The sequence below is a fragment of the Homo sapiens genome, chromosome 11 (genome assembly GCF_000001405.40).
Source record: "Homo sapiens chromosome 11, GRCh38.p14 Primary Assembly".
NCBI classification, from domain to species: Eukaryota; Metazoa; Chordata; class Mammalia; order Primates; family Hominidae; genus Homo; species Homo sapiens.
Genome location: NC_000011.10, coordinates 108,204,887 through 108,224,412, shown reverse-complemented (window position 1 = coordinate 108,224,412; position 19,526 = coordinate 108,204,887). Strand labels below are relative to the sequence as shown.

General features: G+C 43.0%; 2 protein-coding genes across 19 annotated transcripts in view, besides 7 other annotated features; one reads left to right on the top strand and one right to left on the bottom strand.

Annotated features, from left to right (window-relative positions):
* The window catches only part of ATM (ATM serine/threonine kinase), a 146,036-nt gene extending 144,690 nt beyond the window's left edge, over positions 1–1,346 (bottom strand). For 8 of the 16 annotated variants that reach the window (XM_047426975.1, NM_001351834.2, XM_047426978.1 and 5 more), the window contains exon 1: positions 1,227–1,346. The gene's annotated coding sequence lies outside the window, so the exon portion shown is untranslated. Of the gene's footprint in view, positions 1–276 lie in introns of all 16 variants that reach the window. The other 8 variants (XM_011542840.4, XM_047426977.1, XM_006718843.5 and 5 more) reach the window with 3 other exon arrangements.
* Positions 460–509: an enhancer, noted in NCBI's record as "active region_5486". NCBI's record gives its function as "activates an Ori minimal core promoter by ATAC-STARR-seq in GM12878 lymphoblastoid cells {active_cell/tissue: GM12878}" and the evidence as "EXISTENCE:reporter gene assay evidence [ECO:0000049][PMID:35858748]".
* Positions 860–939: an enhancer, noted in NCBI's record as "active region_5485". NCBI's record gives its function as "activates an Ori minimal core promoter by ATAC-STARR-seq in GM12878 lymphoblastoid cells {active_cell/tissue: GM12878}" and the evidence as "EXISTENCE:reporter gene assay evidence [ECO:0000049][PMID:35858748]".
* Positions 1,250–1,409: an enhancer, noted in NCBI's record as "active region_5484". NCBI's record gives its function as "activates an Ori minimal core promoter by ATAC-STARR-seq in GM12878 lymphoblastoid cells {active_cell/tissue: GM12878}" and the evidence as "EXISTENCE:reporter gene assay evidence [ECO:0000049][PMID:35858748]".
* NPAT (nuclear protein, coactivator of histone transcription) overlaps positions 1,775–19,526 on the top strand; it is a 65,424-nt gene continuing 47,672 nt past the window's right edge. For all 3 annotated transcript variants that reach the window (NM_002519.3, NM_001321307.1, XM_011542854.3), the window contains exon 1: positions 1,775–1,913. In NM_002519.3, coding sequence (NP_002510.2) covers positions 1,877–1,913 — 37 coding nt within the window. In that variant the 5' untranslated portion in view covers positions 1,775–1,876. The remainder of the gene's footprint in view (positions 1,914–19,526) is intronic.
* Positions 1,820–1,879: an enhancer, noted in NCBI's record as "active region_5483". NCBI's record gives its function as "activates an Ori minimal core promoter by ATAC-STARR-seq in GM12878 lymphoblastoid cells {active_cell/tissue: GM12878}" and the evidence as "EXISTENCE:reporter gene assay evidence [ECO:0000049][PMID:35858748]".
* Positions 4,855–5,356: an enhancer, noted in NCBI's record as "NANOG hESC enhancer chr11:108089784-108090285 (GRCh37/hg19 assembly coordinates)". NCBI's record gives its function as "activates a minimal SCP1, AML or CMV promoter by ChIP-STARR-seq in primed H9 embryonic stem cells {active_cell/tissue: H9 hESC(primed)}" and the evidence as "EXISTENCE:reporter gene assay evidence [ECO:0000049][PMID:30033119]".
* Positions 5,917–6,061: an enhancer, noted in NCBI's record as "145 bp 11:108089151 sequence used in MPRA reporter constructs". NCBI's record gives its function as "activates a minimal TATA-containing promoter with rs73006241 allelic activity by MPRAs in UACC903 melanoma cells {active_cell/tissue: UACC903}" and the evidence as "EXISTENCE:reporter gene assay evidence [ECO:0000049][PMID:36423637]".
* Position 5,989: a transcriptional cis regulatory region, noted in NCBI's record as "rs73006241 or 11:108089151 MPRA-significant variant associated with a GWAS melanoma risk locus at 11q22.3". NCBI's record gives its function as "allelic transcriptional activity by MPRAs in UACC903 melanoma cells {active_cell/tissue: UACC903}" and the evidence as "EXISTENCE:reporter gene assay evidence [ECO:0000049][PMID:36423637]".

The following is a 19,526-nucleotide window of genomic DNA, read 5'->3' as shown; positions in this document are numbered from 1 at the left end:
TGAATTGACGAATTCAGTGTTCCTTTTTAGATCTCAACCAAGTTGACCCCTTTGCACAACTTGACAATGACGCTTATATCCCATCTTCCTAGAAATAACTCTGCCCTTGGCATGCCATTCTTTTCTAGTGCTAAGGAGTGTGGCCTCTGTAGTCAGATTGTATTAGTTCAAATCCTGGTTCAGCCACTTACAAACTGTATAATCTAGAGCAAGTTCACTAATCTCTTCAAACCTCAGTTTCTCAATGATAAAAGGAAAAACAATACTAGTACCTACCTCTATGAGTCCCTTTAAGGACCCATATACATGCTTACAGTGCCTGAAACACAGCAAATGTTAGCAATGATCATATTAACTTCCGTTATGACTGTTTCGAAAGTCTCCTGATATCTCTTCTTCCGCTCATACCTCAAAAACAGCTTTGTTTTCTTGGTCTCATCCATTCCTATGACTTCAGCAGCTGAAAACCCACAAAATATATTTCATTCAATGCCAGGCCTCACGCTGGAGCTTCAGGGTCCTTCTACACTTTGTGCCTTTACACGCATTTTTCCTTCCATCTGGAAGGCTTCTACCATCTGCCAAGGTAACACTGCGAGGTCTCACCACAAACTGAATTGATAGTCTCAGGCTGAGTTTGCAGAGAACCAAAGTCACTCCTCTACCATCAGAGTACTCCCCTATCACCACATACATTATCATCCACTGTAGTTGTCTTATCTGTACCTGGTAAATACAGCAGCTAACGCTCACGAGTGCTCACCACAGGTCAAGATTATCTCACTTATCTTCACAAGACAGTAGAGAGCGGCCACACGACTGACAGAATTCCAATTCCAGCCGTATGATTCCAGAGCCCAAGCTCTTAACCGCGAGGCTGAAGTTGAAATATCAATAAATGCTCGCTGACTAAAAGTACTAAATACGAGAGAGAGATCAAAAGATGACTAGTCAAGTCGCGTAGTTAAATCTGAACCCTAAGGTGACACAAAAAGAGGATGCGCAGGAGGCAGGGTTCAATTCAGGGCGTTTAAAAGGAGGAGGTTATTGGCCAAGTCCGCTAAGCACCCGGAGAGAGGCCAGGAAAGATGGAGTGAGGAGAGGGAGGAGTCAAGGGCCACTCTGGAGGGGTGCATGAGATTGGCGGTCTGGGGAGAGGACAGACTGGGTCGCACACGACTGAATTTCCCAGCGCAGAAGCCGCTGCGTTGCCTCCGCGCCCCTACCACTGCACTCGGAAGGTCAAAGTAGTATCAACCGCGGCGGTGGCTGCAGCGCAGATCCCGACTCCTCTCGCCTCCTCCCGCGGCCACGGCTTCTTTTCTCCGTTAGCCACGCAGCTACCTACTCCCGCTTCCGGTTCAAACCCTGCGTGACTGCCCAGCGCCCACTTCTGGAGGAAGAAGCAACGCCAAGCAGCCGCAGAGCACGGTATGCCCATGCGCATCCAGTATCACGCGGTCTCCGCGCTCAAAACACTGCCCCAAAACATTCGGCCCGTCGGAGCAAACGCGCCTGCGCCATGTCCACCAATGGCCAGCGACTTAGCGTTTGCGGCTCGCCCTTCGGCTCGGGCTCCGGGGCTCTCACCCACCCTCTTCGCCCTCGTCGTCCTCCCCGCCCTCCTCATCCCCGCCCCTCCAAGTCTGAGGACGGAAGTGACGACAGTTCCGAAGGCGAACGGAGGCGGGTTTCATTTCGGCGCCTTTCTTTCTCTGGCGGAAGCGATTGGCTGCCGTGAAGCGAAAGAGGCGGGACAAATTGCCGCGAGTTCAGTGCCGCCACTGGAACCAGGAGATGCGGCGCAGGAGCTGTCGCTGTGTTTGCTTTAACCTGAGTCTTGTTCCTTATTGTGGTTCCTGCTGTGGTTTTGATCATGTTGTTACCCTCGGACGTAGCCCGGCTTGTATTGGGTAAGCGCGGACGCGGGATGGAGGGTTATTGGACCCGGCTATGCTGGACAGAAGGACCTTTGAGGCCAAAGGTTTTCCCTTGGTAGGGAAGCTTTGGGGTTTTGCCTCCCAGCTTACGAGTTGAGACTGGCGGTGATTCTTCGTCATTCGGAGGTTCTGGGCAGTTTAAGCCTCTTTGTATGTAGATGCTCCTCTCTTCAGAGGCTGCGTGGCGAGGGGAAGCCCGAGGGGAAGCTCGGGGTGGAACACCTGGGGCGGATTCGGAAGGAAAGTCAGGCCTCCACACTTAATTAGGACCCCTGAAAGAGCATTTGTCTGCATGACGGACGGATTGCGTGTGCTTCAACCTTGGGCGCAATTTCCTTGGTTCAGTGTTGGGACCAAAATAGGGCAAATAGGGAGTTCCCCGGCCCCCCATCTTTGTAGAGAGACCTTCCTGGCGCCCTTCTAATAACCCGCCCTTATAACTACGAATTTGGGAGTAGGGGTGATCTTCCTTCTCCATCCTCCACGCAATACGTCGTCCAGTGTAGAGGTGTGAAATGCCAGTTGCATATTTTAAAACAGCAATTCCTGTTCCTTTGATCAGCGAAAAATTTCAGAGGGTTAATTGCCTTAAATTAGTTGAACGTTTTCTAGCCCTAGTTTTACCTTCATTTGAGGAGGGATTGTTTGTGGGTCACTTGTCTGTCAGGGTGTATTGTCTGTGTGAGAGACGGGTTTTGTTGTTGTTTGTCCCCTGAAAGAATAAAGAGGATTGTACTACAGGGGACGAGAGCCAGGTAAAGCTCAAAACCCGAGCCAGTAATTTACGGACGTCGTATGCGACGTCCCTAAAAGTAAATGGCAAGCATCTGTGATGAAACCTCCCATAGTATTCACAGCCATTACTACTATTATTTTATTGTTCGGAAAACCCATTTGTCTTGTGCCTCTTTTAAATGCCCAGCGCTGTCCACAAAAATGTTATTTGCGCAGGGCTCTTGATAAGCACATTTTGCAGGAAACGTTAAACGGAAATGGTTCCACCATCCATTTTTGAAGAAACTTAATGACAAGTTTAATGTTTTGTTAATGTCTGATTAATCTTTTGCTTAAGAATTCTGAGTTTTGGCAGTTTGGTAATCTAGTTGAGTTTCGGTAACTATAGTCTTAAACATGGTTTCTCAGCCTCAGTACTGTTAACATTTTGGGCCTCATAATTCTTTATTGTGGGGAGCTATCCTGTGCTCAAACATTGTAGGATGTTTAGCAGCATTCCTGGCTTCTATTCACTAGATTACAGTAGGACACCCGTTCCCCACCCTACCCTTACCCAGTTGTGATCAGTGAAAATGTCTCTAGATATTGCTAGTATGTCCCCTGGAGGGCAGAATCACCCCTAGTTAAGAAAGCCCTAAGAAAGCAGTATCATTTTCTAATTGAAATAATTCACATCGATGTGTGAGTATTCTTTCTCCACAAACCAGCTACTCTGCTGACTTCCTGCTTTTCATTTAATGGACAAAAAACGCCAGCCATGGTTTTCTTATCTTAAAAATCTTTGTCATTCACATTCCATTTTCACTGCCACCAATCCCGCAATGTGCCTGCCATTACTTCTCTTTTGGACTTCTGTCATGGCTTCCCAGACAGTTGTCCTCGCAATTCATTTTATTTACTGTTGTTACAAATCTCCCTGAAGCTTTCACACTATACCTTTTAGTCTGAAAGTTGAGATAATTCTATTCTTACTAAAAATTTCAGATGGGCAGGAGTATACAATACAAAAAAGCCTCCCCATGCCTAATGCTCTTACTTTTGTCGTTTATCATTTTACATCTTAAATAGATACATATCGTGTATATCTTTCTCATATGAGGTTTATTATTTACTCATGATTCTTTTCCTATCAGTACCCCCTCGCCATCTTCAGCTCCTCTTGTTATTGGTCCCTTCATAATGTTTTTTTTCTAGCAAATCTTTGGGTGCCTAGTATGTTCCAAACACTGTGCCAATTGCTGAACATAGAGAAGTTAAGTTTTCTCCCCTTAGTGTTCAGATAATTAGGTTTTTTTTAAATTCTTAAACATACACACAAAAAAACACTTTTCTGGACCCCACTAGACATTAGACACCCATTAAACAGAACATTCTGTCTTATGTTCTGTGTCACCCTTTCACAAGTCAAATTTATTCAAAGAACAATGAATTCCACTTAGTTGCTGTTCTTCACCTACCTTTTATCCTTCAGGATACTGCACTCTGACTTTTGCATCTCACTACTCCACTTAAGTAGCCCTTATTGCCTTGCTGGGATTTTACAAAATGTTGTGTGGGCCAGAATACATCAAAGTGTTTGTTGCCTCTGGGCCATCAGTTCAGTTTTTATCTATTTATTCAAGGTGCTCTGTGGAACTGATCCTACCTACCTCTCCAACTTGATCTCAACTTCCTAACATCTGTTTTATGCTGCAGACATGCCAAACGAATTGAAGTTTCTTTGAAAATTCTTGTATGTATTCTACTTCTCTTTGTCTTCCTAGTACACTTCTATTCAAGGTTCAGGTCATGCCTGATCTCTGAAACTTCATTCAGCAAGTACAGTCAGTACTTCTTAAATGTTGCCATAGCATTGTACTTCTGTTACAACCTTATCATGTCTCATTGTAGATGTGTGTTTACTTTTTTTTGATAAAATATACTAACAAAATTCAACACTTAAAAATGTATAGTTCTTAAAGCCCAAAACAATGAGTTTGTTGTTGTTGTTGTTGTTGTTGTTGTTTGTTTTTAATGTACAGATCAGTAGTGTTAACTATATTGACATTTTTCTGCAACCATCACTACCATCAGTTTCTGGAACTTTTTCATCTTCCCAATTTGAAACTTACTTGGTTTTTTGTTTTATTAGTAGTCTTAGTCATGGATGAATGGACAAGCTTCAAGAGTTCTGGGAGTCCCCAAAACTATCATCTGTGAAGGTTTTCTTGAATAGATTTGTTACCTTCTGTATGAGACAGCATGCAGTAAAAAAAGTAGAAACCATTCTGAGTATTTAACATGGAAAGATTTAATGAGAGAATTCGTTTACACTGGTGAGAGAAAAGCTAAGACGCCCAGCAGCTTACAACTAAGGCATCTCAGTGGTTAGCAACAGTAGGAAGCCACTATGCTAATGAGAAGGATAAGGAGAGAGGAAGCAATCAAGAGGCTGGTTTGACTGCGGAACGTGGAAGACTTGTCTGATGAGGGAGTGGTAGTCTTAGAGGAGACTCTACTGAGGCAGAAAGGGAATGGGGGAAAAATATGGCTGCTTCCTCCTGCCCTCCAGCCTCCCACCAGTGCTTCCTATTTACTGAGCCCAGCCAGTAGCAGGCCGACAGAAGAGCTTGGGGAACATTGCCTATATAGAGTCAAGCTTTATGTCATACAGTAGAGAGCGACAGAAGGGTCAAGAACGTGTTTGAGGTCAAACAGGACCAAAACTGACACACCCCTAACAGGTCAAGAGCTGCTGGTTCTATTCACCTTTATATCACCAAAACATAGATATTTAATAAAACATTTGCAAAAGTATGGCTCTGATTATGACACTCCTTTGTTTATTTAATAATATATGTACTCATTGCTGTCTAAAACTTTTCATGATCCTTACCCATTTTGTCTTTTCTGTTGTATCTCCAACTGTTACCCTTCATAAACCTTGTGCTGCATCCAAACTGGACATGTTCCCCAAATATGATTGCATATATACTTTCTGTCAGCTTCTTTGGGATTCCCAACCATCCTTCAGTACTCATCTGCACCTTCAAACATCACATAATTTCCAAGCTTAGTAGTGGTTTCTCCAGCCCCTCCCTTCCCATGAAGTGAGTCAGCTCTATTTTCTTACCATTTTTGCTTTGCATTACAGTTATTTGTGTATATATCTTCTATCTCCAAGTAAATTGTAACTTTATAGACAGAAACCTTGTCCCTGTTATTTGTGGATCTAGTAATATAAGACAACATAAGGTACGGCTTCCTAAGAATTATTTGCATGCTTAACGAACATTAAATTACTAATCTTTCTAGGAAATAATAAAATATGTGAAGGAGATGTTTTCACATAGCGTGCTTTACTATCTCTTGCTTGCTTTAAACCTCTCTTTTTATCTTTCCCTCTCTACAAGTAGGAAGAAAAAATACCCTTCATATAGTTAGGATCTTATCCTTTCTTCTCTTTTTCGGTTGTTTCCCCTTCAATTCATTTAGTTACTCATTACCACCTCCACTTATAATAAAAGTAGGCTGAAGATAATATTATGTTAAGAAGGAAACTCAGGCATACTTTCTTACCTATTCGGGGACCTTTGTCAGTAAGTTTACACAAAAAAATACACTTCTTTTATTCTTAAGTTGTTTTTAGGAATAAAAGGAAAAAACAGTAATAACTAATATTAGTTGTAGAATAACGATTTGTATTATACTGATAAGAGATGATTAGTGCCTAGTTTGTATTTTCTATTTTATTTATTTATTTCTTGAGACAGAATTGCACTCTTGTCATCCAGGCTGGGTGCAGCAGTGAGATCTTGGCTTACTGCAACCTCTGCCTCCCAGGTTCAAGTGATTCTCCTGCCTCAGCCTCTGAAGTAGCTGGGATTACAGGCGCTCACCACCACGCCCGGCTAATTTTTGTATTTTTAGTAGAGACTGGGTTTCACCATATTGGCCAGGCTGTTCTGGAACTCCTGACCTCAAGTGATCCATGCGCCTCGGCCTCCCAAAGTGCTGGGATTATAGCCATGAGCCACTGTGCCCAGCCAGTATTTTCATCATATTTGGATTTTCATTCATCTAACACCAGAGATTTAGAATTAATTTGTGCCTAAAATTTCCTGTTACCTGACTGAGAATTGGTTATAGTCAGATACTTAATGATGATAAATAAACATTTTGTAGGCAGATACTAATCATATATATATAGTAAGGCCTAATTTAATAGGTTCAATAGGTTCTTGAAAACTGCAACTTTAAGCAAAATGATATATAATCAAACTAATTTTACCATAGGCTAACTGATATATACAAGAATTTCTTCAGCATATTTTTGGTCACAAAAATATCACCACACTTGTAAATAAAGTCCAAAACACTTCTAATATTAAACATTGAAATACATGTAAGCTATATATACATTTAAGATGGATTAATAAAAACAAGATAATTACTTACCCAGTTAGTCCAGTTCAAGGTTGCAGGTAGCTAGAGCCTATCCCAGCAGCTTAGGGTGCAAGGCAGGAACTAACCCTGGGCAGGATGTCATTCTGTTGAAGGGAGCACTCACACGCCCACGTACACTCACTCATGCTCACACTGTAATAATTTAGACACACCAGTTAACAACGTGCACATCTTTGGAGTTTGGGAAGAAACGTGTACCTGGAGAAAACCCATGCAGGCATGGGGAAAATGTGTAAACTCCACACATACAGTGTCCTCAGCCAGAAATTGATTTTTTTCTCTCATCAGCAGTATAACAAAAACATTGAACAAAATGATGGTATTCGAGGACTTGCTATATAATGATCAGTGAACATGAGAGTAGTCAACTATTTACTACATTATTTTGGAACTTTTGGGACAAAAGTAAACCAGAATACATCAAATCTAATCTAAAATGAGAACTCAAGATTGCCAAAGTTGGGGCATGTTGTTAAGAGCAGAAGATAATGTATCCTAGATATTACTATTTTGAGATACATTATAACTTAAACACTTATTATAGAGGTAATCTAGCTTTTAACAGCCCCATCTCATGTGTGTGCTATACAGAGGTATAATGTTTTATGAAATGCCATGAATTATCTGTAATGATTCCAGGTTATGCTAGCACAAATGACAATATTTTTCTGAAAAAGGTTTACTGTGTATCACTGTATTCTGTCTGGGGCATTGTTTCTCAACCTTTATTTCATTACACAACTTTAAGGAATCTTCTTAGGCTTTTTTTTTTTCCCTGACCCTCCTCTCCTCCCCACACGAAAGTTTAATGTTTTAGTGTCATGAATATATTGTATATGTTTATATATCATGTGTATCTGTGATTTATGCATAAAAAGAGGGAGATTTTCTTCATTCCTCCCTGCCCCAGAACCAATTTTCAGCCTCTTAGGGCAGTATGACTCCTTTTGAGAATGCATGGTCTAGGGGAAAGCAAATCTACTTTAAGATAGATAAAAATCTACTGCAAATCTATAGTAGATTTTAATACCACCGTCTATCAGAAGTCCCCAAGTGACTGAAGGCATCTAGGGTGATAAGTACTTGAAACTCCACCATGAAAAGGAAGTATATTTGAGGTGTTCAATCTAAATCTTGAAGCATATGAGGAAAAAGCTCCAACTGTCCTAATTTTAAGGTGATTCTAATAGTCTGTAGAAGTTTTAAATTTTTGTGTTTACAAAAAGCTAGTAACAGCTAACTCACCTATTCCAAATATTATAACGGTCGGAAAGCCAGCCATCATAAAAATTACTTTTCAGCCAGCTAGTTTTCACAAAAAGAGAAGAAAACATTGCAGTGTATCTTTGATCTAATTAATTTCACATCTGTGGTTTGATGTTCAATGATAGGAAGATTGAAGTCATGTTATCTGAGATAAAGCTTTCTTCAGATATCCAAATGCTTTCTCCAAAACACAATGCCTTTGGTTTTTGATTTGTATATTTGTTTGTTTCTTCTTATTAGTTAGCAAGAGGTTGGAAAACAGATTCATCAACAAGTAGAGAGTGGTGAGTTGATTCCCAAATCACAGCTAGGGCATTGCCTGTAACGAGATGACCATATCCTTGCCCTTTCCTTTTTAAAACCTTAGTGTATAATGACTTTGTAGGCAACCTTATTAGGTTTTTCACCTGTTGGACCTGGTTAACGATACAGTTCCAGGTGAAGAGAGTAGAACGTTATAAAGTTGGAAGAGACGTTAGACATAATTTCTTTTTTTTATCTTTTAAATTCAGGGGTACATGTGCAGGTTTGTTATATAGGTAAACTTGTGTCATAGGGGTTTGTTGTACGTATTATTTCATCACCCAGGTGTTAAGCCTAGAACCCATTAGTTATTTTTCCTGATCCTCTACCTCCTCCCACCCTTCACCTCCAATAGGCCCCAGTGTGTGTTGTTCCCTTTATGTGCCCGTGTGTTCTCATCCTTTAGCTCCCACTTATAATTTCAGTAGCTAACAAATACTTACTGACTATTATGCCAGCACTGAGATAAGTGTACTTCAAAGGAAAATATAAGGGAATACTTATAAGTATTAAGTAATACCTATAAGGGAATATTTAATAGTAGGGAATAGGGAGTAATTATACTAAACTGTGAAGAATGAGTTGAAGATAGCTAGGTTAAGAAAAGATTAGCTGCCCAAGCAAAGGAAATAGAATAAACAATGGCCTTGAAATATAATCAATGTGTATCTGTGGGACTGAAAGACCAGTTTGGCTGGAAGCGATGGAATGGTAAAACATAGGCTGAAGAGGAAATTAGGGTACAAAGCAAGTAGAACCTCATACGACACATTAAAAATTTGAAATCATAGGCCGGGTGCAGTGGCTCACGCGTGTAATCCCAGCACTTTGGGAGGCCGAGGCGGGCAAATCACCTGAGGTCAGGAGTTCCAGACCAGCCTGGCCAACATGGCAAAACCCCATCTCTACTAAAAATATAAAAATTAGCCAGGCATGGTGGCAGGCGTCTGTAATCCCAGCTACTTGGGAGGCTGAGGCAGGAGAATCGCTTGAACCTGGGAGGCAGAGGTTGCAGTGAGCCGAGATTGCATCATTGCACTCCAGCACAGGTGACAAGAGCGGGACTCCATCTCAAAAAAAAAAAAAAAAAATTGGAATCATATTTTTTTATTGAGATATGATGCACATACTACAAAATGTAAACTTCGTTGTTTTTCAGGGTATGAAAATCCAGGATATTTATGGATTCATAATGTGCAGATATCACCAGTAATTTCAATATTTCCATCACTCCAAAGAGAATCCTTATACTATTAAGTCACTTCCAATTCCCCCTTGCCCCGTCCTCTGCCAACCACAAATCTACTTTCTGTATCTATACATGTGCCTTGCCTGGACATTGCACATAAATGAAATAGAATATTTCGCTTTTTGTGTCTGACTTTCACATAGCATAATGTTTTCAGCCTTATTCCATGTTGTAGCAGGTATTAGTACTTCATTCCTTTTTATAGCTGAATATTTCATTATATGAATATGCCATATTTTGTTTGTCCATTCATTAATGGACACTGTTATGAAAAATGCAGGCCAGCTGTAATGGCTCACCCTGTAATCCCAACACTTTGGGAGGCCAAGGCAGGAGGATTGCTTGAAGCCAGGGGAGCGAGACCAGCCTGGGCAGCATACTGAGACACCCCATCTGTACCAATAAGTAAGTAATTAGCTGGGCATTTATTTGGTGGTACATGCCTCTAGTCCTAGCTACTGGGTTGGCTGAAGTGGGAGGATCACTTCAGCCCAGGAGTTCAAGGTTATAGTGAGCTATGATTGAGCCACTCTACTTCAGCCTGGGTGACAGAGCAAGACTCTGTCTCTGAAAAAAAATAAACTGACCATAAATGTCTGGATTCCATGCTTCAGAGTTGACTAGATAAATAAGAAAGGTCTGGATTTTTTATTTTGTTCCACTAATTTCTGTGTCTAACCTCATGCCCGTACATCGTCTGGATTACTGTAGCTTTACAGTAAGTTTTGAAATTGGTAAGTGTAAGTGCTTCAACTTTTTCTTCATTTTCAAGATTATTTTGGCTATTCCAGCCCCCTTGTATTACCTTAGGAGTTTTAGGATGTTTGTCAATTTCTGCACAAAAGGCAGTTGAGATTATGATAGGAATTGTGTTGAATGTATCGGTGAATTTTGGGAGTATTGAGTTTTTAACAATATTGAACCTTTCAGTCCATGAACACAGTATGTCTTTGCGTGGATTTAGGTCTTTAATTTCCTCCAGTGACGTTTTCCAGTTTTTAGTATGCAAGTCCTTTACTTTTGTTAAACTTATTCCTAAGTATTTTATTTCTTTTGATGCTATTGTAACTAGCATTGCATTCTTAATTTTTGGTAGTTCATTGAGATTTATTGACTTTTATATATTCACTGTGTATCCTGCAACCTTGTCGAAGTCATTTATTAGCTCTAATAGTTTTTGTTTTGTTTCGTTTTGTTTTTGGGACAGAGTTTCGCTCTTGTTGCCCAGGCTGGAGTGCAATGGCGCAATCTTGGCTCACCACAACCTCTGCCTCCCGGGTTCAAGCGATTCTCCTGCCTCAGCCTCTGGAATAGCTGGGATTACAGGCATGCATCACCTTGCCCAGCTAACTTTGTATTTTTAGTAGCACCAGGGTTTCTCCATGTTGGTCAGGCTGGTCTCGAACTCCCGACCTCAGGTGATTTGCTGGCCTTGGCCTCCCAAAGTGCTGGATTATAGGCATGAGCCACCATGCCCCGCCCAGGGAGGTTTCTTAACTCCTTTTTTTTTTTTTTTTTTTTTTTTTTTGAGACAGAGTCTTGCTCTGTTGCCCAGGCTGGAGTGCAATGGCACCATCTCGGCTCATTGCAACCTCCACCTCCCTGGTTCAAGTGATTCCCCTGCCTCAGCCTCCCTAGCAGCTGGGATTAAGGTGGACACCACCATGCCTGGCTCATTTTTTTGTATTTTTAGTAGAGACGGGGTTTCACCATGTTGGCCAGACTGGTCTCGAACTCCTGACCTCAGGCAATCTGCCTGCCTTGGCCTCCCAGAGTGCTGGGATTATAGGTATGAGCCGTGGTGCCTGGCCTCTAATAGTTTTTTTGTTGTTGTTGTTGTTGTTTTTTATGGCTTCCTTAGGATTTTCTATATAAGACATGTCATCTGCAAATAGGGGTAATCTTGATTTTTTCCTTTCCAATCTGGATGCTTTTTTTTTTTTTCTTTTGAGACGGAGTCTCTCTCTGTTGCCCAGGCTAGAGTGCAGTGGCCCTATCTCAGCTCACTGCAACCTCCACCTCCCGGATTCAAGCAATTCTCCTGCCTCTGCCTCCTGAGTAGTTGGCATTACAGGCATGCACCACCACACCTGGCTAATTTTTGTATTTTTAGTAGAGACGGGGTTTCACCATGTTGAGCAGGCTGGTCTGGAACTCCTGACCTCAAATGATCCGCCCAGCTCGGCCTCCCAAAGTGCTGGGATTACAGGTGTGAGCCACTGCACCCGGCCTGGATGCTTTTTATTTCAAGTTTTTTCCTAATTGCCCTGGCTAGAGGATACATGCAATGTTGAATAGAAATGACAAGAACAGACCTTCTTACCTTTTCCCTGATCTTATGGGGAAAGGTTTGAATTTTAAACCATTGAAGATGATGTTACTTGGCTTTTTTTTTTTTTAATAGATAACTCTATGAGGTTGAGGAAATTTCTTTTTATTTCTAGTGTTTTTATCATGAAAGGGTGTTGGATTTTGTTTTTTTTGGTTTCTTTGGTAGAGTTTTGTTTTGTTTTGTTTTGCTTTTGAAACAGGTTCTTACTCTGTCATCCAGGCTGGACTGCAGTGGCATGATTATGGCCCACTGCAGCCTCAGCCTCCCAGACTAAAACTATCCTTCTACCTCACCCTCCCAAGTAACTGGAACTATAGGCACATGCCACCATACCCAGCTAAATTTTTAATTTTTTGCAGAGATGGGGGTCTCACTATATTGCCCAGATTGGTTGGATTTTGTTCAGTTCTTTTTCCATGATAATGTGACTTTCGTCTTTTACGTTAGGGATATAGTATATTACACTGATTTATTTTTATTCAACCAACCTTGCATTACTGCATTAAATCCCACTTGGTCATGGTGCATCACTGTTTTTATATGTTGCTGGACTTGATTTGCTAGTATTTTGTTAAGGATTTTTTTTTTTTTTTTTCCTGAAGACAGGGTCTCACTCTGTCACCTATTCTGGAGTGCAGTGGCCCAATCATGGCTCACTGCAGCCTTGACTTCCCAGGCTCAAGTGATCCTCTCATTTCAGCCTCCCAAGTAGCTGGGACCACAGGTGCACACCACCATGTCCAGCTAACTTTTGTATTTTTTGTAGAGATGGCATTTTTGCCATTATGCCCAGGCTGGTCTGGAACTCCTGAGCTCAAGCAATCCTCCTGCCTCGGCCTCCCACAGTGCTGGGATTACAGGCGTGAGCCACTGTGCCCACCCTGTTGAGGACTTTTATGTTCACTTTGTTTCTTTTCTTTTTTTTTTTAGACGGTGTCTCACTCTGTTGCCAAGCTGGAATGCAGTGGCGCGATCTCGGCTCACTGCAACCTCTGACTCCCTGGTTCAAGCGATTCTGTCCCAGCCTCCCGAGTAGCTGGGATTACAGGCACACACCACCAGGCGCAGCTAATTTTTGTATTTGTAGTAGAGATGGGTTTTCACCATGTTGGCCAGGATGGTCTCAATCTCCTGACCTCATGATCCACCCACCTCGGCCTCCCAAAATGCTGGGATTATAGGCATGAGCCATTGACCCTGGCTCCCATGTCCAGTTTCATAAGGATTATTGGCGTGTAGTTTTGTGATGTCTTTCTCTTGTTTTGGTATCAGGGCAATATTGGTCTAAAAGAATGGGTTGAGAAGTCCTCTCCTACTATTTCAAAAAGAGTTTGTAAAGGATTGGTGTTTCATTCAATGTTTTGTAGAATTCACCAGTGAGGGCATTTGATCCCAGTTGGGCTTTTCCTCGTGAGAGGTTTCTTTATTACAAATTCCATTTCTTGTTATAGGTCTGTTCAGATTTTCTGTTTCTTCTTGAGTCAGTTCTCATAGTTTGGGTCTATTAGTCTGTTCTTGTGTTTCTATGAAGAAACACCTGAGAGTGGGTAACTTATAAAGAAAAGAGGTTTTAATTGGCTCACAGTTCTTTAGGTTTTGCAGGAAGCATGGTGCTGGCATCTGCTTGCCTTCTGGAGGCCTTGGGAAGCTTAACAATCATGGCAGAAGGTGAAGGGGGAAGCTGGCCTCTCACATGGCAGGAGTGAGAGCAAGAGAGAAAGAGGTGTCACACACTTTTAAATGACCAGGTCTTGTGAGAACTGACTATCTCAAGGATAGCACCAGGGCATGAGGAATCTGCCCCTGTGGCCAAAACACCTCCCACCAGGCCCCACCTCCAACATTGGGGATTACAATTCAAGGTGAGATTTAGCAGGAGCAACATCTAAACTACATGAGGGTCTTTCTAAGAATTACTCATTTCATCTAGATTCTCTAAATTGTTGAGATAACAACTGTTCATACTGTTCCTTTACATTCCCATTTATTTCTATAATATTGATAGTAATATCCCCTCTTACTTTTCTGATCTAGTATAATTTGAGTATTCTCTTTTTTTTTTCGGTTGGTCTAGCTACAGAATTGTCAACATTGTTGACGTTTTCAGAGAACTAGCTTTTGTTTTTATTCATTTTTCTCTATTTTTGTTTCATTTATGTATACTCTGCTTATTTCCTTCTGCTTTGCTCTTTTTCTAGTTTCTTAAGGTAGATGATGTGGTTATTGAATTTTTTTTTTTTTTTTTTTTTTTTTGAGATGAAGTCTCACTCTGTTCCCCAGGCTGGAGTGCAGCGGCATGATCTCCGCTCACTGCAAGCTCTGCCTCCCAGGTTCATGCCATTCTCCTGCCTCAGCCTCCCGAGGAGCTGGGACTACAGGCGACTGCCACCACACCCAGCTAATTTTTTGTATTTTTAGTAGAAAGGAGGTTTCACCATGTTAGCCAGGATGGTCTCGATCTCCTGACCTCGTGATCTGCCTGCCTTGGCCTCCCAAAGTGCTGGGATTACAGGCGTGAGCCACCGTGCCTGGCCCAATGTGGTAATTGATTTTAAATTTTAAGGTTTTTGTTTACTTGTTTGTTTGTTTTGAGACAAGATCTCAGTCTGTTGCCCATGCTAGAGTGCAGTGGCGCGATCATAGTTCACTACAGCCTTGAACTCCTGAACTACTGGGACTACAGGCACGTGCCAGCACACCTACCTAATTTAAAGAGATGTTTTTAGACACAGGCTCTTGAATTCCTCACCTCATGGTACTCTCCTGCCTCAGCCTGCCAAATAGGTGGGATTATAGGCATATGCCACCATGCTTGGCTTATCTTTTTATTTATTTATTTATTTTATTTAGTTATTTATTTTTGACATGGAGTCTTGCCCTGTCACCCAGGCTGGAGTGCAGTGGCATGGTCTTGGCTCACTGCAGCCTCCGCCTCTCAGGATCACGCAGTTCTCCTGCCTCAGCCTCCTGAGTATCTGGGATTACAGGCGCCTGCCACCATACCCAGTTAATTTTTTATATTGTTAGTAGAGACGGAGTTTACCATGTTGGCCAGGCTGGCCTCAAACTCTTGACCTCAGGTGATCTGCCTGCCTCAGCCTCCCAACGTGCTGGGATTACAGGCGTGAGCCACCATGCCTGGCATCTCTTTTTTAAATACAGGTGTTTATAGCTGTAAATTTTCCACTGTGCACTGCTTTAGTTGCATCTCATAAATTTATTGACACTTATTTCATGTCCTAATATATGGTCGGCCCTGGAAAATGTTCCATGTACACTTGAGAAAAATGTGTATTATGCTGTTTTTGACTGGAATGTTCTATAGCTATCTGGTAGGTCTAGTTGCTTTACAGTTTAAATTTTCTGTTTGTTTATTGATCTTCTGCCTAGTTGTTCTATGTATTACTGAAAGTGTGGTATAGAAGCCTTCAACTTTTATTGTTGAATTATCTGTTTCTCCTTTCCCTTCTGTGAGTTTGCTTTATACTTTGGGCTCAGTTAGGTGTATTTATGTTTATAAGTGTTATTTCTCTCTCTCTCTTTTTTTTTTTTTAAAGACAGGGTCTCACCCTGTTGCCCAGGCTCGAGTGCAGTGGTGCAGTCATGGTTCGCTGCAGCCTCGACCTCCTGGGCTCAAGCTATCCTCCCACCTCCACCTCCAGAGCAGCTGGAACTACAGGTGCACACCACCAAGCCCAGCTAATTTCTAAAAACCATAGAGGTGGGTTCTCACTAGGTTTCCCGGGATGGTCTTGAACCCTAGGCTCAAGCGATTCTACCACCTCAGCCTCCCCAAAGTGAGCTACTTCACCCAGCCATGTTATCTTTTTGTGGATTGACCTTTTTTGTCATTATCTTTGTCTCTAGTAACAATATTTGTCTTAATACCTACTTTGAGACAGGTTGAGTATCCCTAATGCAAAAATTCAGAATGCTCCAAAACCAAAACTGTTTGTATACCAACATGACCCTCAAAGGAAATGTTCATTGGAGCATTTCAGATTTTCAGATTAGCGATGCTCAACCAGTAAGTATAATGCAAATGTTCCAAAATCTGAAAGGGAGAACAATCTGAAACACTTCTGGTCCCAAGCATTTCAGATAAGGGATATACTCAACCTGTATTAACATAACAACTTTAAGTCTTACTTGATTACTGGATGGTGTAATCCAGTCATCTTTCCTATCCTTTTACTTTCACCCTGTTTGTGTCTTTGAATCAGTCCAGCACCTGGTGCCAAGACGCCGGCTGCAGCACGGGAGGTGTGGCCAGGGCTGTGTGCTCCACAGGGCAGCAGGAGCTGGGAACAGATGGGTGCCCTGTCCCCTTCCAAGTTGGATGGGCAGGAGCCCTGCCCTCCCAGGTGCAGCTGCAGCTGTGGAGCAGGCATCCCTGCACTCTCGGGGGCCAGGGAAGCCCCCCTTTCCCTGCAGGCTTGGAAGCGCCTACTCCCGCTGCCTGGCCTCTCCCTGCTCCCGGTGCCCACTCCGATTTCAAAGTAAAGTTGAGGCTGAGCCTGCTGCTGTCGGGACCTGGCTGGGTGTGTGCACACTAGGGGCAGCACCAACACACCAGCCTCATGCTGCCTCGGTCCCCCTCTGGACTTTGAGCTCTGATGAGCACATGAGGGAGGCCAAGGGTGAGGCTGAGGGCAACTCGGCATGGGCCTGCCCCTTGGCATGAACAGCCTAAGCACCGTGGGCACCTTGGATGTCAGGTTGATGGTGGCAGGAGGCAGATGGTCTCCTAGGTGGAAAGGGGCAGGCCCCTGGTGAAGCCACACCTTCAAGCCAGAGACAGCTAAAGCCTGGGGGCCAGACTGCAGATCCATGGCCCAGAGTGAGAATTTATGGTGCTTTTTCTGCACCCACCCATGGCTGTCCATGGACCCATCAGCACATACTTACTCCCATTTGAGGTCCATAAAAACCCCAGACTCAGCCAGACTCACAGAGATGTTGGGACTACCAGCTGTGAGAAGGAGCTACTCACTGTGGGTCTCATCTCCACCGAGAACTGGTCACTTGTTGGGACAACCTGCCTGCAGAAAGGAGCTACCCACTGCAGCTCTATTCACTGAGAGTTGGACACTCGTCAGGATGACTTGCCTGCAGAAAGGAGCTACCCACTGTGGGTCTCCTCTCTGTTGAGAGCTGGACACTCATCAGGATGACCTGCCTGCACAGAAAGGCACTGCAGAAAGGAGCTTCCCACTGTGGGTATCCTCTCCACTGAGAGCTGGATACTCGTGGGGACGACCTGCCTACGGAAAGGAGCTACCCACTGCAGGTCTCCTGAGGGCTGTTCTGTCACTCAGTGAAGCTCCTCTCCGCCTTGAGCACCTTCCAGTTGACCGTGAACCTCATTCTTCCTGGACGCAGGATAATAACATGGGACCCACTGAAAGGCGGGACTGAAAGATCTGTAAAACAGGGCTGAAACATGCCCCCTTGCTCACCACGTTGCAGACAATGAGAAGGAAAGAAGAGCTGAGGCCCTTTGGGGAGCCCAGACCTAAGAGCTCCCCAAACCAGGGTTGTGACACCCTCTTTGGGGCTCTGGGATTCTTGATGTCTCCAAGCTTCAGGGTGCCACTACGTTCCCCAGTACCCACAGTGGAAGCCACTGTGGTATGTCTGATCCAGATGCAACCTCACAGGGAGCCAGTGCCTGGATATGCCCGCCCTACTGCATCCAACATGCCTGACTATGCTCGGTGGCTGAGCTCACTCATACACCCCTCACTGCTTCATGCCTGGCTCACCACCAGCAGGCATGGGATTAGGCCCAGTAGCATGAGCCAAACACAGCCTGCTTGGCCAAGTGGGCGGAACAAACCCAGCAGGCCCTAGCAAAACTCAGGCAAAGGCACCACCAGCCACAGAGGTTTCGAACTGGAAAAGCGACACCCTAAGGATCCTGTGACAACAGCATATAGTTGGATCATGTTTTTAAGGTCATATAAATTACACCTTCATACATTATATGCCCATATTGTTGTGTACAGTTATCTTTTTAAGCAGAGTTGGGGAAGAAAGTTTACGTACAACAAACACTTATACTATTTTATTTTTATTTATTTATTTATGTATTTTTGAGACAGGGTCTCGCTCTGTCACCCAGGCTGGAATGCCTTGGCATGATCTCGCCTCACTGCAGCCTCTGCCTCCCCAGTTCAAGAGATTCTCATGTCTCAGCTTCCCAAGTAGCTGAGATTACAGGCGAGTCCCACCACACCTAGCTAATTTTTTTGTATTTTTAGTAGAGATGGGGTTTTGCTGTGTTGGCCAGGTTGGTCTCAAACTCCTGGCCTCAAGTGATCCACCCGTCTAAACCTCTCAAAGTGCTGGGATTACAGGCATGAGCCACTGCACCTAACCTATACTGCTTTATATTATGTTGTTATCAAGTTACTCTCCAGTATCATCTCATTTTAGCCTGAAGGAGTCCCCCTTTAGTATTTCTTACAGGGAAAATCTGCTAGCAACTAATTCTTTTAGTTGTTTATTTGATAACATACAATTTTTAAAGTTTTAGTTTGGAGTCTTGTTAGATATAGAATTCTTCCTTGAGGCTGGCTGTGGTGGCTTACTCCTGTAATCCCAGCACTTTGTGGGGGCCAAGGTGGGAGGATCGCTTGAGGCTAGGAGTTCAAGACCTATCTAGGCAACATATAGTGAGACACCATCTCTATTAAAAATTTTTTCATTTAATTAGCCAGGCATAGTTGTGAGTTCCTGTCATCCCAGCTACCTGGGAGACTGAGGTGGGAGGATCGATTGAGCCCCAGCATTCAAAGCTACAGTGAGCTATAATGGTTCCTCTGCTCTTCAGCCTGGGCAACAGAGTGAAACGCTGTCTCAAAAAGAAAAGAAAATTCTTGGTTGACCTTTTTTTGCTATCAGTTTTTTATCTTTTTTCTTCAACAATCAAAGTAAATATCAAGTCTTTGAATATCATCTCACTACTTCTGGTTTCTGGTGAGAAATCAGCTGTCAGTCTTACTGAGAAACCCTTGTATGTGATGAGTTGTTTCTCACTGCTTTCACGATTTTGTTTGTCTTTGTATTTTCAGTTTGATTATGGTCTGTCTAGGTATGGATCTCTTTTAGTTTATCCTACTTAGAGACTGTTGAGCTACCTTCATGTGTAGATTAAGTTTTTTCTCAAATTTGCACGTTTCTAGACATTATTTCTTCAAATATTCTTTCTGGCATTTCTGTCGTTCTAGGATTTCCATTATGCTTTTGTTGG